This window comes from Homo sapiens, chromosome 14 (assembly GCF_000001405.40).
Source record: "Homo sapiens chromosome 14, GRCh38.p14 Primary Assembly".
Classification (NCBI taxonomy): domain Eukaryota; kingdom Metazoa; phylum Chordata; class Mammalia; order Primates; family Hominidae; genus Homo; species Homo sapiens.
This window is the reverse complement of record NC_000014.9, coordinates 100,980,979-100,999,438: the sequence shown is the minus strand read 5'-3', so window position 1 is coordinate 100,999,438 and position 18,460 is coordinate 100,980,979. Positions and strand designations below refer to the sequence as shown.

Sequence of the window (18,460 nt, the reverse complement as noted above, 5' to 3'; positions counted from 1 at the left end):
TTGTTTAACTATTTATTATTTTTAATAAAATAACAAAACTCAAGAGAACCACAACTAACCCAAAAACAAGATCTTTGACCAAGGCTAGAATCTGCCTATAATCTCCTTAATCTAAGAGATAGCAAACCAAACCTCTTTTTAAATGGATCTCGTTTTGCAAAATGAATTAACCATGACACTTGGCAGGATTCATTCTTATCATTGGTTCAGGCATGGTCTTCTTGGATTTTATGACTGCATAAAGTCATTTCTTCTTTTCAAATAATAATTAATCATCATCTCTAACAAAAGGCTAAACCAAGAATAAAAACTTAATCTGACTCACCCTGTTCTACACTCTCCTTGCCACATGGGTAACAGTCAAGATCTTCATCCTTTAAATAATTATTAAAACAGCCAAGTTACCTCTGTTCTGTGGGGTTACAAAGCAGATATAGAAAATAATGAAGTACCCTTATCATTGGTTCATACTTGGCACCCATTTATTTAGTTATACACGTATTTGTTTGTTTAATTTTAATTTTTTTGTCTTAATGAATCAAACATCTGGGAACCCACAGCAAACTAAGAACAGAACATTGACTATTAAGTACTTCTATCTAGATGCTTCTTACCCAAAGTGGTGACAAATTTAATCTGTTTTTTTTCTTGATGGACCAAGGTATTTCAGAATTGAATTAATTATATTCCTTGCTTTACAACATGCCCTCAGAATTGGTCCATGTCTTAACCTCTTTTTCTTTACTCATGAATATACTTGTGTGTTGATCCACACAAGTGGATCTGCTAATCATATAAAATCAGTACCTGTGAACCCTCTCAAGCTCCAGAACTAGATTCTCAAACTTTCCTGACATTATTCCCACAAAGGTTTACATATTAGTTCTTCATTTTGCAGTGGACCTCAGTTGTTCCAAAAACTGATTGATCATAATTTTTATTCAGATGCATTCCATTCACATCATTGGTCCAGACATGGCCCCTCTACATTTAATTTGAACAACTTTTAGATATCAAATGAACAAACTTGAACCACCATCCTACTCAACAACTAGAATACTGACTCCATAAATGAGTAACAGCCTTTATCAAGAGAAGAGTCTTTAAATAATCAATGAGACAAACATACAATGTGACATTTAACTATTGAAAATGAATGGGAAAGCTAAATTTTTTCTTACACTTCATTTGTGCTAAATTGGATTAATTTCGGTCCACAACACATTCTCATCATAGGCCTAGTATGACCTTTTAAAATTTAATTATCTTTTTAAATGACAGTAGAAATCATGAACCAACAACCCAACTCAAGAACTTTATTACTTACATTATATGACATTCTCCTTACTCTGAGGGATAAGGTAAAGTTCCTCATCAATGGGAGAATAATTTAATCAGCTCTGGTCTACCCATCCTGTAGATGATATTACCAAATGAAAGAGGAAATTACCAACTGAAAAGACCTAGATTTAGGTTTCGACTTAGTAAACGTGAAGTAACCATCGTAGAAATTGAACACAAACAATGATTTATGCCACATTGTTATCTCTGGTTCGTGAATGGAGCTCCATCTTATTAATTAACATATTATCCATTTTAACAATATCAGGAATACCCTTAAATGAACCACCCAACATAAAACCTATGAGAGTTACATACATCTGACTCCATATTCCATACCCACAGAGCTAAAAATGTAGAGCTCTTCTTTTAAAAAGGGCTTCTGTTGTGCAAAACAGTAGTCATCATGAACCTTGATTTATAATACAATCTTATCATTGGTTTTTCTGTAGCCTTCATTGATTATATTACGTATTATTTTATCATACACTAAATACCCTAAATGGACCATCCCAACAATGACAAGAACTTGGATCATTACTCACACTGACCCATAAAGGTCTTCATCATTACAGAATCACTGTAGTGATAAGTGTGTTCCTTCTATGGAACTGAAAGCAGATGGTGAAAAAAAGGAAAAATAAACATGTATTCTTTTATACCTTTAAAAATGTATACACAAAATATGCAGGAATATTCCTTACAAAAAGGGAGTGAAAATATCAAAAATTCTTTCAATTGATCCATGTTTCCCCCGTTAATTTGCTTAGCTATTTATAATTAGGTATTGATAAATTTGTGAAATTATTTATTTGTTTCTCTTAACAAGACAAACTTGAACTCACCATTCTCCCAGAACAAAAACGTTGACTATTACTATTCTTTGTCTATATGATACTTACCAAAAGAAGGAACATTCCTGATTTATTAATTTATTCATAAAACTCAGTGTTTTGGGATATTAAAAATATATAATTCCACAGATGTTCTGATTGGACTCATTCTAATTATTGGTGTGTAACACACTCTCATCCCTGTTCTTTTTTAATTCTGTATATAGATGTAGTCATTTATGCATTATTTTATAATACAATGAATACCTCTGAGTAAACACCCCACCAAAGGACAAGAACTTTGGGCATTATTTGTATAGGTCTATAGCCTTTTTCCCAGAGACTTACCAGCTAAGATCTTCACCAATGATAATCCATTCTGGAGGGTAGAATGCAAATGGTAAAAAGAATGAAACATCCTAAATTTTGACTGTGCTCTAATATTCTAATAAATGAAAGGAGAGCAAGTTTAGATTAATTTTTATAATTGGGTCATGCTCTTTTTACAACTGGCCAGAAAACCCTCTTTTTTGTCACATTAATTCAATTATTAATTTTGCATTTAAAATGGATGCCTTTGCAATTGCAACAAAAGCAAAAATTGACATGTGGAATCTAATTAAACTAATGAGTTTCTGCACAGCAAAAGAAACTATCATCAGAGTGAAGAGACAACCTACAGAATGGGAGAAAATTTTTGCAATCTATCCATCTGACAAAGGTCTAATATCCAGAATCTACAAGGAACTTAAGCAAATTCACAAGAAAAAAACCAACAACCCCATTAAAAAATGGGCAAAGGACATGAACAAACACTTCTCAAAAGAAGACATACATGCAGCCAACAAACAAGAAAAAAGGCTCAACATCACTGATCATCAGAGAAATACAAATCAAAACCACAGTGAGACACCATCTCCTACCAGTCAGAATGGTGATTATTAAAAAGTCAAGAAAAAACAGATGCCGATGAAGTTAAAGAGAAATAAGAATGATTTTACACTGTTGGTGGGAATATAAATTAGTTCAACCATTATGGAAGACAGTGTAGTGATTCCTCAAAGATTTAGAAGCAGAAATACCATTTGACCCAGCAATTCCATTACTGGGTATATAACCCAAAGGAATAGAAATCATTCTATTATAAAGATACATGCACATGTATGTTCATTGCAGCACTATTCGCAATAGCAAAGACATGGAATCAACCCAAATACTGGATAAGGAAAATGTGATACATATACACTATGGAATACTATGCAGCCATTAAAGGGATGAGAGCATGTGCTTTGCAGGGACATGGATGAAGCTGGAAGCCATTATCCTCAGCAAACTAATGCAGGAACAGAAAACAAAACACTGCATGTTCTCACTTATAAGTGGGAGCTGAACAATGAGAACACATGGACACAGGAGGGGAACAACACACACTGGCGCCTGTCAGGGGAGGGTGGGGAGAGCATCAGGAAAAACTGCTAATGCATGCCAGGCTTAATACCTAGGTGATGAGTTGATAGGTGCAGCAAACCACCATGACACATGTTTACCGATGTAACAAACATGCACATCCTGCACATGTACCCCAGAACTTAAATAAAATAAATGGACGCCTTTGAATCCAACATCTGAATCAAGAATGAGAGTTCTCTACAAAACACGTCAGCTTCAATGCCTCCACCCATGCACTCAACAACCTAAATCTTTGGACCTCCCATATGCACAATTAGATTCATCTAAATACTTGTTTCAGAGCAATTTCATACCAATGAACAGTGCTTGCTATCACTTCATTCACTCATTCACAAACCAATTTGGCGAATTATTCATTCTTTGTAAAGAAACAGAACATATGTAAACCCTCAGAAACCCAGAATGTGTCTGATACTGTGCGTCTATGTATAGCCTAATTATGCAAACACTTGTAAGAGCCAAAATACTTGCCTTAAGAAGAATACACTCTCCGGACCCAGTTACATCACAACCATCATTTCCAGACATGTTTGCTACTGGCCCTTGCTTTATCCTTTTTAGCTAATTGATTATTATTAACTTAAGCATTTGTTCATTATTAAGATAAAATCAGTATCCTTACACATGATCTAAACTACAGCATGGATCATCGTAGCACATGCATAGTTGATCATTACCAAAGTAATAACAGATGATGTCACTTTGTAATGGAATTTAGTGAGCACAATAGCTCTTGTTATAGAACAAATTATTGTCACTGGCCCTCTTTAAAAATAGCTTTCTATTTATATAAACAACATCCCTAGTTAAGGATAAGACAACCAGGAAACCAAAGACAACTCAATATAAACATGGACAGCTCATACATTTGTCTACATGTTTCTCATTCTGAGAGATTAAAAATCTGACACAATTCCCACTCCCTGAGCAATAGATCAGTACTGTGACTTGCTTCATTACACATGTTATAGTTGGTCCAGGTGTGGCCATGTTTTTATTCACTTATTTCTTTTACTTGAGTTCTTCACGCATTAATTCATTATCCGTGAATTACAAGAGCACAAGAATAGGGTAACTGATTTTTTGGGGGTTTTTTTTGTTTTTTTTTTTTCGAGACAGGGTCTCACTCTGTTGCCCAGGCTGGAATTCAGTGGCGCGATCTCGACTCACTGCAACCTCAACTTCCTGGGTTTAAGCAATTCTCCTGCCTCAGCCTCCCAAGTAGCTGGGATTACAGGCACTCGCCACCACACCCGGCTAATTTGTATATTTTTAGTAGAGACGGGGTTTCACTGTGTTGGTCAGGCTGGTCTTAAACTCCTAACTTTGTGATCTGCCCACCTCGGCCTCCCAAAGTGCTGGGATTAAAGGTGTGAGCCACCGTGCCCAGCCGATAACTGAATATTTTTAACTACTGTCTACAGGATCATTTCCAACTGATCAATAGGCTAGATTTCTTTTATATCGGAGCTTAAACTTCCTGACTCCTATTACTCATCATCCTTGACTCATACCCACGAGTCATCATCTCTGGGCCAGGCCACAGACCATCAATCATTTTTTTCATTTAGACTTTGTCTATTTCATTTATTTATTAATTTACTACTTTATAATAAAGAAATAGACATGAATCAGAAAAAAAATAGGACAAGAGCTGTGATAACCCTGTTGTCTATCTGTAGAGCAGTTCCTACAGAAATTAGACATGTTTCTTGAACTGACCTGATTGTTTCAAACATGCATTACTCAACAAAATGTTTCATATCAACCCCATGTTCATTTTGGGGACACGGTTAGTCTTCTTTAATTATATTTTCTACTTATTAATAATGCATTGACCACTCTTAAATGGCCCAAACCAAGACAAGAACTTTGACGATTACTCACATTTGTCTGTAGGTTCCTTAAAACAACCATAGAGCAAGTGGTCATGGCAGAATCAGTGCAGGGAGTGACTGTTCTGAGGATTACAAGGAAGAGCAGAAGACAAAATTTGAGATTTTCTATCCATTAATTTTTTCATTCTACCTTCCATTTACTCTGTCAGTTGGTATTTATTGATTTGTTAATATTTGCTTATTTCCCCCTTAATAAAATAAATATTGAACTTACAATTGACCCAGTTGACCTGAGAATTGACCTAAAAATCACATAGCCTTTGATAACTAATAATCAGTGCTATTGCTCTATCAGTGGCTCTATGATTCTTAGCCAGAGAGTTAAAAACCACTGGCCCATTTATTATCCATTCCAAATTAATTAATAGTATTTCTTTCCTTGCCACATATGTTAACAATTAGAATATGCCTCTCTCTCTCTTCATGTTTAATCATTCAAATCTTTGTTTGATTCTTTCATTAATTCATTTATATTAACACAATCACAATCCATGAACTGTAAAATTGGAAGCAAACAGCCTTGATATCACTAACATCTATCTAAAGGATTTTTTTCAACAGAGGAATAGATTAGATTTCTATTATATTGAACCTCAGAGTTCCAGGCACTTAGTATTCATCCTCCATGACTCACACACCACCGGCTGTCATCGCTTGCTCAAGCTTGGACCTCCTTTTCTTAATTCGTGTCTACGTGTTTTTATTGATTAATTTATCAGTTCACTAACAATAAAATAATTACCTAAGAGTCACAAAAACTTGTGAGTAAAATCCTTAAATAGCTCTTATATCTGTCTATGTCAATATTACTCACAGCAATACACCTCTTTCATTAATTAAATTCAATGTTTTCATTAGTTAAATTCAATGTTTTATATATATACATTAATCAACATAATGCTTTATATTAATCCTATTTTTACAAATGGGCCAGAGTTTACCTTCAATGATTGTATTTAACACTTCTTAATAATACTACGAATATCTTTTTTAAAAAACACTGAAACCAAGAATGTTGACTGTCACTCACATTGGTCTCCACACACCATATAACACATAGACGCAACCATGGATCTTACCATTAAAAAAGAATGATAAAATCAGCCAGAGTGTGTTTATTTTGAGGAGTACAGAGCACAAGAGATGATCAGAAAAGATTAAGACATTATCTGCATTACTCTTTGCATTCTATCTTCCACTGATTCAGTCACATAGGTTATTTGAGATAACATATATTTTATTTACTCTACATAGCCAGACAGTATCAGTCACACCACTGACACAAAGCATAAACATTCATTATTATTTACCACTGTCTATAACATCCCTAACTAAATAAATAACAACCTCATACCACTTATTTCCTAATGGTATTGGTGTTTTCAATATATATCATAGATTTTCTTCTCACTCTATTGCCCAGGTTGAAGTGCAGTGGTGTGATCTTGGCTCACCGCCACCTCCATCTCCCAGGTTCATGTGATTCTCCTGCCTCAGCCTCCCAAGTAGCTGGGATCACAGGCATACGCCGCCACGCCCAGCTAATTTTGTATTTTTAGTACAGATGGGGTTTTACCATGTTGCCCAGGCTCATCTCGAACTCCTGACTTCAGGTGATCCACCCACCTTGGCCTCCCAAAGTGCTGGGATTACGGGTGTGAGCCACCATGCCTGGCCATATCATAGCTTTTTTTGCCTCACAAATTATTTTTACAGTTAGAGAACGCTTAGTCGCATCCAACATACTTTATTTGTATATTTGTTTAGTGGTTCCTTCATTGATTGAATTATAATAATAGATTGAAAACTCGTGCTCACAAAGAGCAAAAACAAGACCCTTGCATATTCCTGACGTCTGTCTATAGGATCACTTCCAAAAGAGGGAAAACACTATATTTCTTTTCTGATGGACCTCAGAGTTCCAGATAGGCATTCACTGACGAAGACCCATCCAATACCAGTAGTCATGATTGATCCAGGATTAGCTCTGGTGCTCTTCATTCATTGTTACATTATTTATTACTTCATTAATTCACCATTAATAACTTTTAAACACTATCACTCACAAAACCCCAAGAGGAGCCTTGATATCTCTAATTTGTATATACACTCATCCTCACAATACCATATCCCCTCATTATTACCTTTCTTAATAATACAGGACATGCTTTTCATATAAGCATCCCTCAGTGTAACATTCCACATCCATTCCATATTTATCCCTGGGCTACTCATGGCCTTATTGGATTATATTTCATATTTTTTGTTAATGCACTATAAACCTTTAAACAAAACACCCAAGATGAGACAAGAACTTTGACTATTACTCACATTGGTCTCCAGCTTCTAGCACAGAGATGGACCATACAGCTCTTAACTATTAAAACCAGCTTCTGTGCTTCCATTCTGAGTACAGAGCAGAAGAGATGACAACAAAAATGAGACCTTCTCTCCATTGATCCTTGCTTTTCAAATATACCTCAAATTAATAAATGTATAAACATTTATACTCATTTATATGTTCATTAATTTGAGGTATATTTCATTTTTTTATGAATAACTGGCCAGATGTGGTGGCTCATGCCTGTAATCCCAGCATGTTGGGAGGCAGAGGCAGGTGGATCACTTGAGGTCAAGAGTTCAAGACCAGTCTGGGAAACATGGAGAAACCCCATCTCTACTGAAAATACAAAAACTAGCCAGGCATGATGGCACGCGTCTGCAATCCCAGCTATTAGGGAGGCTGAGGCACAAGAACTGCTTGAACCCATGAGGCAGAGGTTGCGGTGAGCTGAGATCGTGGCATTGTACTCCACCCTAAGTGATAGAGCAAGACTCCATCTCAAAAAGAAAGAAGGAAGGAAGGAAGGAAGGAAGGAAGGAAGGAAGGAAGGAAGGAAGGAAGGAAGGAAGGAAGGAAGGAAGGAAAAGAGAGAGAGAGAAAGAGAGAGAAAGAAAGAAAGAAAGAAAGAAAGAAAGAAAGAAAGAAAGAAAGAAAGAAAAGAAAGAAAGGAAGGAAGAAAGGAAGGAAGAAAGGAAAGAAAGAAAGGAAGGAAGAAAGGAAGGGAAAATAAAGAACTTTGGAATTGTCCCTGACCCAGAACTTGAATACGGTCAAAATTTATACTGTCTATCTCATTCAAAGAGGTAACAGGTATGCAAGATTTCTCTTTAGTTGTTACCAATTTCAGTATGTATTAATAGTGTTTTTTGTCTTTCCACATATTTTTATAGTTGGACAATCCTTAATCTTATCCTTTTTATTTTTTTCTTTTTGACACAGAATCTTGCTCTGTTGCCAAGCTGCAGTGACGTGATCTCGGATCACTGCAGCCTCCCAGGTTCAAGCAATTTTTGAAACCCGGGTTCAAGCAATCCATGTGCCTCAGCCACCCAAGTCCTCGGATTAGAGGCACATGCCGCCATGCCTGGCTAATTTTTGTATTTTTAGTAGAGATAGGGTTTCGCCACGTTGGCCAGGTAGGTCTCGATCTCCTGTCATCAAGTGATCTACCCGTGTTGGCCTCCCAAAGTGCTGAGATTACAGGTGTGAGCCACCATGCCCGGCCCTTATTCATCTTTATTTGTATATTTATTAACTGATTCTCTGATTGAGCCAATCATAAATGTAAAATAAAAATTCATAAACATGAAAACCAAACACATATACATTCTATTTTTTGCCATCTGTCTGTAGGATCATTTGAAACAGGAAATAGACTAGATATCTTTTGAGACAGACCTCAGAGTTCCAGACATGTATTCACTGTATATGACTCATGCTACCAGTAGTCATCATCGATCCAGGATTGGCCCTTCTTTTCTCTGTTATTTTCTACATTGTCTGTTGATTAATTCATTAATTTACTAATAATAACTTTAAACCTTATGACTCACAAAACCCAAAAAGATATCCCAAATAATTCCTATATTAATGTTTCATGAGTTATCCTGTTTTTCATATGTGAATTATCAATATAATACTTCTTTTGACTCCAATATCCCTCACTAGATAAAATTCACCATCTTTGATTATATTACATGTTTATTCACAGTACATTGAGTCCTCTTAAATAAACCACCCAAAGAAATGCAAGAAATCTGACTGTCACTCACATTGGTACACATGCTCCTTCCTAAGCATGGTGCAAACAGAACATGTGACCATGAAGAAGTCCTCAAATCAGAACAAGTACGTCCATTCTAAGTACAGAGCAAAGAAGATAATAACAAAAGAGAGGCATTTTAACTATCAATCCTTGCTTTTCACCTATCATTAGTTAGTCATCTAAGCTATCATTATTTGGAGTAAACTTATTTCATTTCCTCTTTAAAAAATGAACAATTTCAAGCTTACAATTAACCAAGAATTTGAACATTGTCTATAATTATCCTGTCTATATCACCATAGCCAAAGAGGTGACAGACATGTACATGTACTTCTCTTCAGACTTCACTATTTTCAATACATATTAATAGTGTTTCTTACCTCACCAAATATTTTTTACAACTGGACAATGATTAACCTTACTCATCTTTATTTATACATTTGTTTATTGGTTTTTATATTGGCCAATTACAAAAATAGAATTAAAACATGTAAATACAAAGACTAAAACCAAACTCATCTAATATTCCTGATGCCTGTCTAAAGGATTATATCAAACACAGAAAATGAGCTAGATTTCTTCTGTGATGGACCTCAGAGTTCTAGACACGTATTCATCGCATATGACTCATACGCCACCAGCAGTCATCATCGATCCAGGATTGTTCATCTCTTTCTCTATTCATTTCTACCCTGTCTATGGATTGATTTGTTAATTCACTAATAGCAATTTTAAGACTTTATAGTTCAAAAAAATCCTGAGAATAACTTTAATATTCCTAATTTGTATACTGAATTATTCCAACATTGATACACCTCTTAATTAACTATCTTCAGGTTTTTATATATGCATTATCAATACAACGCTTCGTATCGTTTCCATATCTTTCACTGGGATGCAGGCGGACATCTTTGATAATGTCACACACTTTTTATAATACAATGAGTCCTCTTAAAATGGCACCAGAAGGAAGTAAAAAATGTTAACTATTACTCACATTAGTCATCCGGAGCCTAATCATGACGCAGATGCCTCAGGTGACCATGGAAGAACTTTTCAAGGTGCACAATTCATCCATTCTGCAGAGCACAAAGCACAGAGGAGTTCAGAGCATACAAGGGGACTTTCTCGCTCATGATTCACCTTCATCTAATGAGTCATTTAGGCAATCATTATTTGAAGTGTATTTCATTTTCTCTTAAGAAAATTACCAATTTCAAACTTGCCACTGACCCATACCTTAAACATTATCTATAGTTTATACTGTCTACACTATCACTCGCAAGAGGCCAAAGGCATGCATCATTCATTTTTCCTTGGCTATCACTGTTTCAGTACATATTAATAGTGCTTGCTGCCTCATCAAATATTTTTATAATTGGACAATGCTTAACCTGATTCATCTTTATTTATTCAAATATTTGCTTATTGATTCTCACTGATCCAATTATAAAATAAAATATAAATGCATAACACACAAAGACCTAAAACAAACTGAGTCTGTATTCCTGACATCTACCTATAGAATCATGTGAAACAGAGGAAATTGACTTTCTGATGGGCCTCAGAGTTCCAGACATGTATTCATTGTATGACTCACACGACACCAGTAGTCAACACTGAACCAGGATTCTTCCTATTTTTCTCTATGCATTTTTACTTTGTCTAATAATTAACTCAATTCACTGATAATAAGTTTAAAATCTTTGGTTTTTAAAAATCCAAGAGCTTTGATATTCCTAATCCCTACATAGAATCATTATAATGTTGATATATATTTTCATTCATTGTTCTCCATTTTTCATATATGTGTTTTCAATATAGTACTTCCTATCACTCCTCTAACTGGGAAAGAGTTGGCCGTCTTTGATTACATTCCTATAATATATTGGAATATATTATATATAGATTATATTCCTATAATATATATTTTATATATAAGATATTCCAGTAATATATTCCTATAATGTATTACCTCTTTTATAATGTATTATATCTTCCTATAATGTATTTTATACTACATTATATTATAGAAATATATATAATATATTCCTACAATATATTACATTTTTATAATGTATTATACGTTTTTATAATACACTGAATCCTCTTAAACAAACCACTCAAACCAAGACAAGAGCTTTGACCATTACTTACTTTGGTCTGTACGCTCCTTCCTAAGCATGGTGCAAACAGAGCACGTGACCTTGGAGGCATCTTTAAATCATCACAAGTACGTCCATTCTGATGAGTGCAGAGCAGAGAAAATAATAACAAAAATGTGATTTTTCTCATTGTTGATCTTTCCTTTTTACCTATCTGTAGTTAAACATTTAGGCAATCGTTATTTGAAGTATGAACAACTTTGAACTTGCCACTAACCAAGAACACGAAAATAGCATATAATTTATACTATCTCTTCATTATTGGCCAAAAAGGTTAGGTATGTTAGATTTATTTTTGGCTTTCATCAATTTAAATACGTATTAAATACACCTCATCACACATTTTTATAATTGGACAATGCATAACTTATTTATTTATTCATATATGTTTTATTCTTTCATTGAACCAATTATAAAATAAAAACTCATAAACAAAAAAAATTCATTCTCTATTCTTGTCATCTATCTACAGAGTTAGTTGAAACAGAGGAAACTGACTTCTGCGATGGACCTCAGAGTTCCAGACACGTATTCATCGTATGTGACTCATACTCCACCAGTGCTCATCATCGATCCAGGGTTGACCCTCTTTTTCTGCATTCATTTCTATGTTGTCTTTAAATTTATTCATTAATTCACTGGGAATAATTTTACACTCTGTGATTCACAAAACACTAAGAACAGACTTGATATTCCCTATCTTTATACAGAATCATTCTAACACAGATATATCTGTTTCATTAATTCTTCTCCGTTTTTCATATATGCATTATCAATAAATACTTCAGATCCCTCTCATAAATATCACTGGGACATAGTTGACCATAGTTGACTATATAATACACTGTTTCATGATACATTGAGTCCTGTTTAGCAAACCACACAAACCGACACAGGAATTTTGACTATTACTAACATTGGTCTGCATGCACCTTCCCAAGCATGGTGTACAAATGGGGCGCGTGATCATGGAGGAATCCTTAACACAGCACAAGTTGTTCATTCTGAGGAATACAGACCAGAGAAGATAATGACAAAATTGAGACATTTTCAATATTGATATTTGCTTTTCAACTATCAGTTAGTCATTCATGCAATCATTATTTGAAGTATATTTAATTCATTTTCTGAAAATAAAATGAATAATTTTGAAACTGTCACTGACCCAGAAGTTGAACATTACCTATACTTTATTCTGTCTATACCATCATTAGCCAAAGAAGACACAGGAATGTACCGTTTATTTCTCTGTGGATGTCGCTGTTTCATATACATTAATTGTGTTTCTTATCTTGTCCCTTAGTTTCATAATTGGACAATGCTCGAATTTATTCATCTTTATTTGTATTTGTTTATTAATTCTCATATGGATCAATTATAAAAATAGAATCAAAACATGTAAACATGAATACCAAAAACATATACATTCTATACTCCTGACAGTTGTCTGTAAAATAATTTCAAACATACAGAATAGGCTAGATTTTGTTTGTGACGGACCTCAGAGTTCTAGACACGTATTCATCGCAAAAGACTCATACGCCACCAGTAGTCATCATCGATCCAGGACTGATCTTCTATTTTTGGGTTCGTTTCCTCCTTGTCTATTGACTAATCTGTTAATTCACTAACCATAACTTTAAGCCCTATGATTTACAAAACCACAAGAATAGCCATGATATTCCTAACATATAGGAATATTTATTTTATTAATTATCCTCAGTTTCTCATGTATATATCTTCAATATAATCCTCACATCAGGCCCATGTTTATTTAAATACAACTGCTCATCTTTGATTATAATATACACCTTTTTGTAACACATTGAACCCTCTTGAACAAACCACCCAAAGCAAGGTGAGGACTTCCACTATTACTTACATAGGTCTCCAGGCTCCATCCTAAAAATGGTGCAAGTGGAGCACATGGACTTGAAGGAATCCTTCAATCAGCAAAGTGCAATCATTCTAGGGAATACAGAGCAGAGAAGAGGATAACAAAAGTGAGATGTTGTCACTACTGACCCTTTCTTGTCACCTATCATTAGTTAGTCATTTTGACAATCATTATTTGCAGTATATTCATTTTATCTAAAGAAATGCATAATTCTGAAATTGTCGTTGACCCAGAAATTGAATGTTGTCTATAATTTGTACTGTCTATACCATCATTAGCCACAGAAGTCACCAGAAGACACCATTTATATCTCTGTGGACTTCGCTGTGTCAAAAGATATTAAGAGTGCTTCTGGCCGGATGCTGTGGCTCACACTTGTAATCCCAACACTTTGGAAGGCTGAGGTAGGCGGATCACTTGAGGTCAGGAGTTCGAGACCAGCCTGGCCAACATGGTGAAACCCCGTCTCTACTAAAAATACAAAAAATTGGCAGATGTGGTGAAGGGCGCCTGTAATCCCAACTACTTGGGAGGCGGGGGCAGGAGAATCACTTGAACCCAGAAGGCAGAGGTTGCAGTGAGCCAAGATCATGCCACTGCACTCCAGCCTGGGGGACAGAGCGAGACACTGTCAAAAAAAAAAAAAAAAAAAAAAAGAGTGCTTCTTGCCTTATCATATATTGTTATACTTGGCCAATGCTTCCACTTTTTCAGCTGTATCTATTTATATATGTGTTTATTGAGCCTTGCATTGACCAGTTATGAAAATAGAATGAAAATACATAAACACAAATGCCAAAAAAATTATGTTCTATATTTCTGAACTCTGTCTATAGGATCATTTGAAACTGAAGCAATAGGCCAGATTTCTTCTGTGACAGACCTCAGAGTTCCAGATACGTACTCATCATATGTGAGTCATATGCCATCAACAGTCACCATCGATCCAGGATGGATCATCTGTTTTTCAATTTAATTCTGCCTCATTTGTTGATTAATTCATTAATTCATTACTAATAATTGTAAATCCTATGATTTACAAAGCCCTATGGAGAGCTGTATACGTCTAAATAATATGTATACAGAATCATTCTAACACGAATATACCTGTTTTATTAATTATCCTCAGCTTTTCATATATGCATTATCAATATAATACTTCATATCCCACCAAATCTATTATTGGGATAGAGTTGGCCATCTTTAATTATATTTTACACCTTTTTATAATTCATAGAATCCTCTTAAACAAAATGCACAAAGCAAGATAAAGACTTTGAATATTACTCACACAGGTCTGCACACTCCTTTCTAAGCATGATGCAAACTTAGCTCCCAACCTCAGAGGAATCCTCAAATCAGCAAAGGCATGTCCCTTCTGAGGTGTACAGAGCAGAGAAGATGATAACAATATGAGACATTCCTACTACTGATCCTGGCTTTTGCACCCTGCCTCTGACCCAGAACACACATATTATCTATAATTTATAATGTCTATACCATAATTAGCCAATAGATGACAAATAATACCATTATTTATCTTTTGACTTCACTGTTTTTAATATATAAATAGAATATCCTGCTTCACCAGATATTTTTATTATTAAACTATGTGCCATTTTATTTATATCTTATTGATTACTTTCATTGATCCAATTATAAAAATAGAATAAAAATACACAACCCCCAAGAAAAATAACTACATTCTATATTTCTGAAATCTGTCTATAACATCATTTTAAACAGAAGGAATGTATACATTTCCATTGTGATGGACGATGGACCTCAGAGTTCCAGACACGTATTCATTGTCTATGACTCATACGCCACCAGTAGTCATCATCGATCCAGGATTGGTCTTCCTTTTCTCAATTCATGCCTGTATTTTTGTGATTAATTTACTAATTCACTAATAACAACATTAAAGAGTCTGATTCAAAGAGCTCCAAGAAGAGTCTTGATATTCCCAATCTGTACATGGAATCATTCTAACATCGATATATCTGTTTCATTACCCTCAATTTTTCATATATGCATTATCAATATAATGCTTCATATCACTCCAATTTCTATCACTTAGATACAGTTGACCATTCTGATTATATTATAGGCTTTTTGATAATACCCTGAGTCCTCTTAAACAAACCATTCGGGCCAAGATAAGAATGTTGATTACTACTCACATTGCTCTGCAGGCTCCCAACCATGATAAAAACAGAGCACGTGACCATGAAGGAATTCTCAAATCATAAAAAGTGCATCATTCTGAAAGGACAGAAAGCAGAGAAGATAACAAAATTGAGACATTCTCAACATTGATCCTTGATTTTCACCTGTTATTAGTCATTTTGGCAATCATTATTTGGATTATATTTCTTTTATTTATTTTCTCTTAATAAAATGAACAACTTCAAAATTACCACTGACTCAGAATATGAACATTGTCTATAATTTATACTATCTATATCATACGCCATTTATGTCTTTCTAGATTTCACGATTTCAATATGTGTTAATAGCATTTCTTGCCTTACCACAAATTTTTATAATTGGGCAGTGTTTCAATCATTTTCTATTTATTATATATTTGTTTCCTGATTCTCACATTGATCCAATTATAAAAATAGAAGAAAACTTCATAATCACACAGAAAAAACAAACATTCTATATTTTTTAAATCTGTCTGTAACACCATTCGAAACAGAGAATAAGCCAGATTTTATCTGTGATGGACCTCAGAGTTCCAAACACGTATTCATCACATATGACTCATACGCCACCGGTAGTCATCATCGATCCAGAATGTGTCCTATTTTTCTCTGGGCACTTTTACCTTGTCTAATGATTAATTCATTAATTTGCTAATAGTAATTTGAAAACCTTTGGTTCACAAACGCCTCAGAACAGCATTAATATTAATATTCTTTATCTGCATATAGAATCATTCTCACACTGATAAATGTTTCATTAATTATCCTCAGTTTTTCAAACATGTATTGTTAATATAACGCTTCATATCACTCCCATTTCTATCACTGGGCTGCAGCTGGCCATTTTTGATTACAGTGCAGACTTTTTAATAATACATCAAATCCTCCTAACCCAACCACCCAAACTAAGACCAGAACTTGATTACTCACGTAGGTCTGCGTGCTCCCAATCAAGAGGCAGACACAGCATGTCACCAGGGAGGAATCCTTCCATCAGCACAAGCCATCTATTCTGAGGAATACAAAGCAGAGACGGTAACAAAACTGAGACATTCTCACTAATGATCCTTGCTTTTCACCTTGCCTTTAGCCTGTCCTTTAAGCATTCATTAGGTGGACTAATATTTATTTCATTTTCTCCTAAGAAAAAGAACAATTTGATCTTGCAAGTGAATAAGAATTTGAACATTATCTGTAATTTATTCTGTCTACATTATTATAAGCCAAAGAAGTAACAGGTATGTACAATATCTCTTTGTACTTCACCGATTTCAATATACATTAATAGTATTTCTTGCTCAACACATATTTTTATAGTTGTACACTGTTCACGCATTTTATCTTTATTTATATGTTTATTGATTCTTGCATTAGAATGAAAATGAAACCAAAACAACTTCATTCTATATTCCTGACATCAGTCTATAGATTCATGTAAAACAGAGGGAATGGACTAGGTATCTTTTGTGGTGGACCTCAGAGTTCCAGACACGTATTCATCACATATGACTCATACGCCACCAGTGGTCATCATTGATCCAGGAATGGCCCTCCTTTTTTCTATTCAGTTTTACATTGTCTGTTGGTTGCCTCATTAAATCACTAATAATAATTTCAAAGCCTATGATTCAAAAAACTCCAAGAACAGCCTTGATATTTCTGATCTGTATCCAGAATCATTCTAACATTGATATTATCTGTTTCATTAATTATCCTCAGTATTATATTAATACTTCATGTCACTGCCATGTCTACCATCGGGATAACATTGACCATCTTTGACTGTATTTCACACTTTTTAATAATACATTGATTACTCTTAAACAAACCACAATAAGGACTTTGACCATTACACATTGGTCTGCACGCTCCTTCCTAAGCACGGTGCAAACAGAGCATGTGACCCTAGAGGAATTCTCAAGACAGAACAAGGATGTCCGTTCTGAGGAGTACAGCGCAAAGAAGATGATAACAAATTTGACATATTATCACCATTGATCCTTGCTTTTCACATTTCTTTAGTCATTTAGGCTACCATTATTTAGAGTACAGTATATTTATTTCACTTTGTCTTAAAAAGATGAACAATTCTGAATTTGCCACTGACCCAGAATAAAAACACTGTCTATAATTATCCTCTCTATATCATCATTAGCCAAAGAGGTGACAGACACGTACCATTTATTCCTCCTTGAACTTCACTATTTCCAATACATATTAATAGTATTTCTTGTCTCACCACCTATTTTTATAATTGAGCAACACTTCAACCAATATATCTTTATTTTTATATTTGTTTATTGATTCTCACATTAACCCAATAATAAAAATAGAATGAAAATGTATGAGCACAAAGACCAAAAACAAACCCAGTCTATGTTCATGATACCCATCTAAAGGATTGTATCAAACATAGAAAATGGGCTAGATTTCTTTTGTGACAGACCTCAGAGTTCCAGAGACGTATTCACTGTAGATGACTCATACGCCACCAGTAGTCATCATCGATCCACAGGACAGGTGCTCTTTCTCTCCAC

The 18,460-nt window shown here is 34.7% G+C and overlaps 1 long non-coding RNA gene and 14 other non-coding genes across 15 annotated transcripts in view, besides 2 other annotated features; all 15 read right to left on the bottom strand.

Moving 5' to 3' along the window:
* The window catches only part of MEG8 (maternally expressed 8, small nucleolar RNA host gene), a 109,465-nt gene continuing 91,330 nt past the window's right edge, over positions 326 to 18,460 (bottom strand). Inside the window, exons 38-51 of the long non-coding RNA NR_146000.1 lie at positions 16,854 to 16,935; positions 15,897 to 15,978; positions 15,005 to 15,091; positions 13,699 to 13,784; positions 12,733 to 12,820; positions 11,809 to 11,895; positions 10,649 to 10,730; positions 9,659 to 9,745; positions 7,874 to 7,948; positions 5,532 to 5,604; positions 2,523 to 2,553; positions 1,893 to 1,952; positions 1,328 to 1,414; positions 326 to 374 (exon numbers count right to left, since the gene is read on the bottom strand). This is a non-coding gene — a long non-coding RNA (maternally expressed 8, small nucleolar RNA host gene). The remainder of the gene's footprint in view (positions 375 to 1,327; positions 1,415 to 1,892; positions 1,953 to 2,522; positions 2,554 to 5,531; positions 5,605 to 7,873; positions 7,949 to 9,658; positions 9,746 to 10,648; positions 10,731 to 11,808; positions 11,896 to 12,732; positions 12,821 to 13,698; positions 13,785 to 15,004; positions 15,092 to 15,896; positions 15,979 to 16,853; positions 16,936 to 18,460) is intronic.
* On the bottom strand, positions 898 to 972 carry LOC124903421 (small nucleolar RNA SNORD113/SNORD114 family). Its single transcript, XR_007064399.1, has one exon. It is a non-coding gene; the product is annotated as a small nucleolar RNA SNORD113/SNORD114 family (small nucleolar RNA).
* Positions 5,109 to 5,182, bottom strand: LOC124903422 (small nucleolar RNA SNORD113/SNORD114 family). The gene has a single exon (XR_007064400.1). It is a non-coding gene; the product is annotated as a small nucleolar RNA SNORD113/SNORD114 family (small nucleolar RNA).
* On the bottom strand, positions 6,130 to 6,203 carry SNORD114-31 (small nucleolar RNA, C/D box 114-31). Its single transcript, NR_003224.1, has one exon. It is a non-coding gene; the product is annotated as a small nucleolar RNA, C/D box 114-31 (small nucleolar RNA).
* SNORD114-30 (small nucleolar RNA, C/D box 114-30) lies at positions 7,450 to 7,520 on the bottom strand. The gene has a single exon (NR_003223.1). It is a non-coding gene; the product is annotated as a small nucleolar RNA, C/D box 114-30 (small nucleolar RNA).
* On the bottom strand, positions 9,280 to 9,348 carry SNORD114-29 (small nucleolar RNA, C/D box 114-29). Its single transcript, NR_003222.1, has one exon. It is a non-coding gene; the product is annotated as a small nucleolar RNA, C/D box 114-29 (small nucleolar RNA).
* Positions 10,133 to 11,332: an enhancer, noted in NCBI's record as "MED14-independent group 3 enhancer chr14:101454444-101455643 (GRCh37/hg19 assembly coordinates)". NCBI's record gives its function as "activates an origin of replication core promoter dependent on BRD2, BRD4, P300/CBP and CDK7 cofactors, and independent of MED14, by STARR-seq in HCT116 cells {active_cell/tissue: HCT116}" and the evidence as "EXISTENCE:reporter gene assay evidence [ECO:0000049][PMID:35650434]".
* SNORD114-28 (small nucleolar RNA, C/D box 114-28) lies at positions 10,239 to 10,309 on the bottom strand. The gene has a single exon (NR_003221.1). It is a non-coding gene; the product is annotated as a small nucleolar RNA, C/D box 114-28 (small nucleolar RNA).
* Positions 10,942 to 11,111: an enhancer, noted in NCBI's record as "experimental_33725 CRE fragment used in MPRA reporter constructs". NCBI's record gives its function as "activates a minimal promoter by MPRAs in K562 erythroleukemia cells, with activity observed for the introgressed 14:101454750 variant allele {active_cell/tissue: K562}" and the evidence as "EXISTENCE:reporter gene assay evidence [ECO:0000049][PMID:34662402]".
* On the bottom strand, positions 11,210 to 11,278 carry SNORD114-27 (small nucleolar RNA, C/D box 114-27). The gene has a single exon (NR_003220.1). It is a non-coding gene; the product is annotated as a small nucleolar RNA, C/D box 114-27 (small nucleolar RNA).
* Positions 12,323 to 12,393, bottom strand: SNORD114-26 (small nucleolar RNA, C/D box 114-26). The gene has a single exon (NR_003219.1). It is a non-coding gene; the product is annotated as a small nucleolar RNA, C/D box 114-26 (small nucleolar RNA).
* Positions 13,312 to 13,382, bottom strand: SNORD114-25 (small nucleolar RNA, C/D box 114-25). Its single transcript, NR_003218.1, has one exon. It is a non-coding gene; the product is annotated as a small nucleolar RNA, C/D box 114-25 (small nucleolar RNA).
* Positions 14,592 to 14,662, bottom strand: SNORD114-24 (small nucleolar RNA, C/D box 114-24). The gene has a single exon (NR_003217.1). It is a non-coding gene; the product is annotated as a small nucleolar RNA, C/D box 114-24 (small nucleolar RNA).
* SNORD114-23 (small nucleolar RNA, C/D box 114-23) lies at positions 15,493 to 15,563 on the bottom strand. Its single transcript, NR_003216.1, has one exon. It is a non-coding gene; the product is annotated as a small nucleolar RNA, C/D box 114-23 (small nucleolar RNA).
* SNORD114-22 (small nucleolar RNA, C/D box 114-22) lies at positions 16,443 to 16,513 on the bottom strand. Its single transcript, NR_003215.1, has one exon. It is a non-coding gene; the product is annotated as a small nucleolar RNA, C/D box 114-22 (small nucleolar RNA).
* SNORD114-21 (small nucleolar RNA, C/D box 114-21) lies at positions 17,394 to 17,464 on the bottom strand. Its single transcript, NR_003214.1, has one exon. It is a non-coding gene; the product is annotated as a small nucleolar RNA, C/D box 114-21 (small nucleolar RNA).
* Positions 18,365 to 18,435, bottom strand: SNORD114-20 (small nucleolar RNA, C/D box 114-20). Its single transcript, NR_003213.1, has one exon. It is a non-coding gene; the product is annotated as a small nucleolar RNA, C/D box 114-20 (small nucleolar RNA).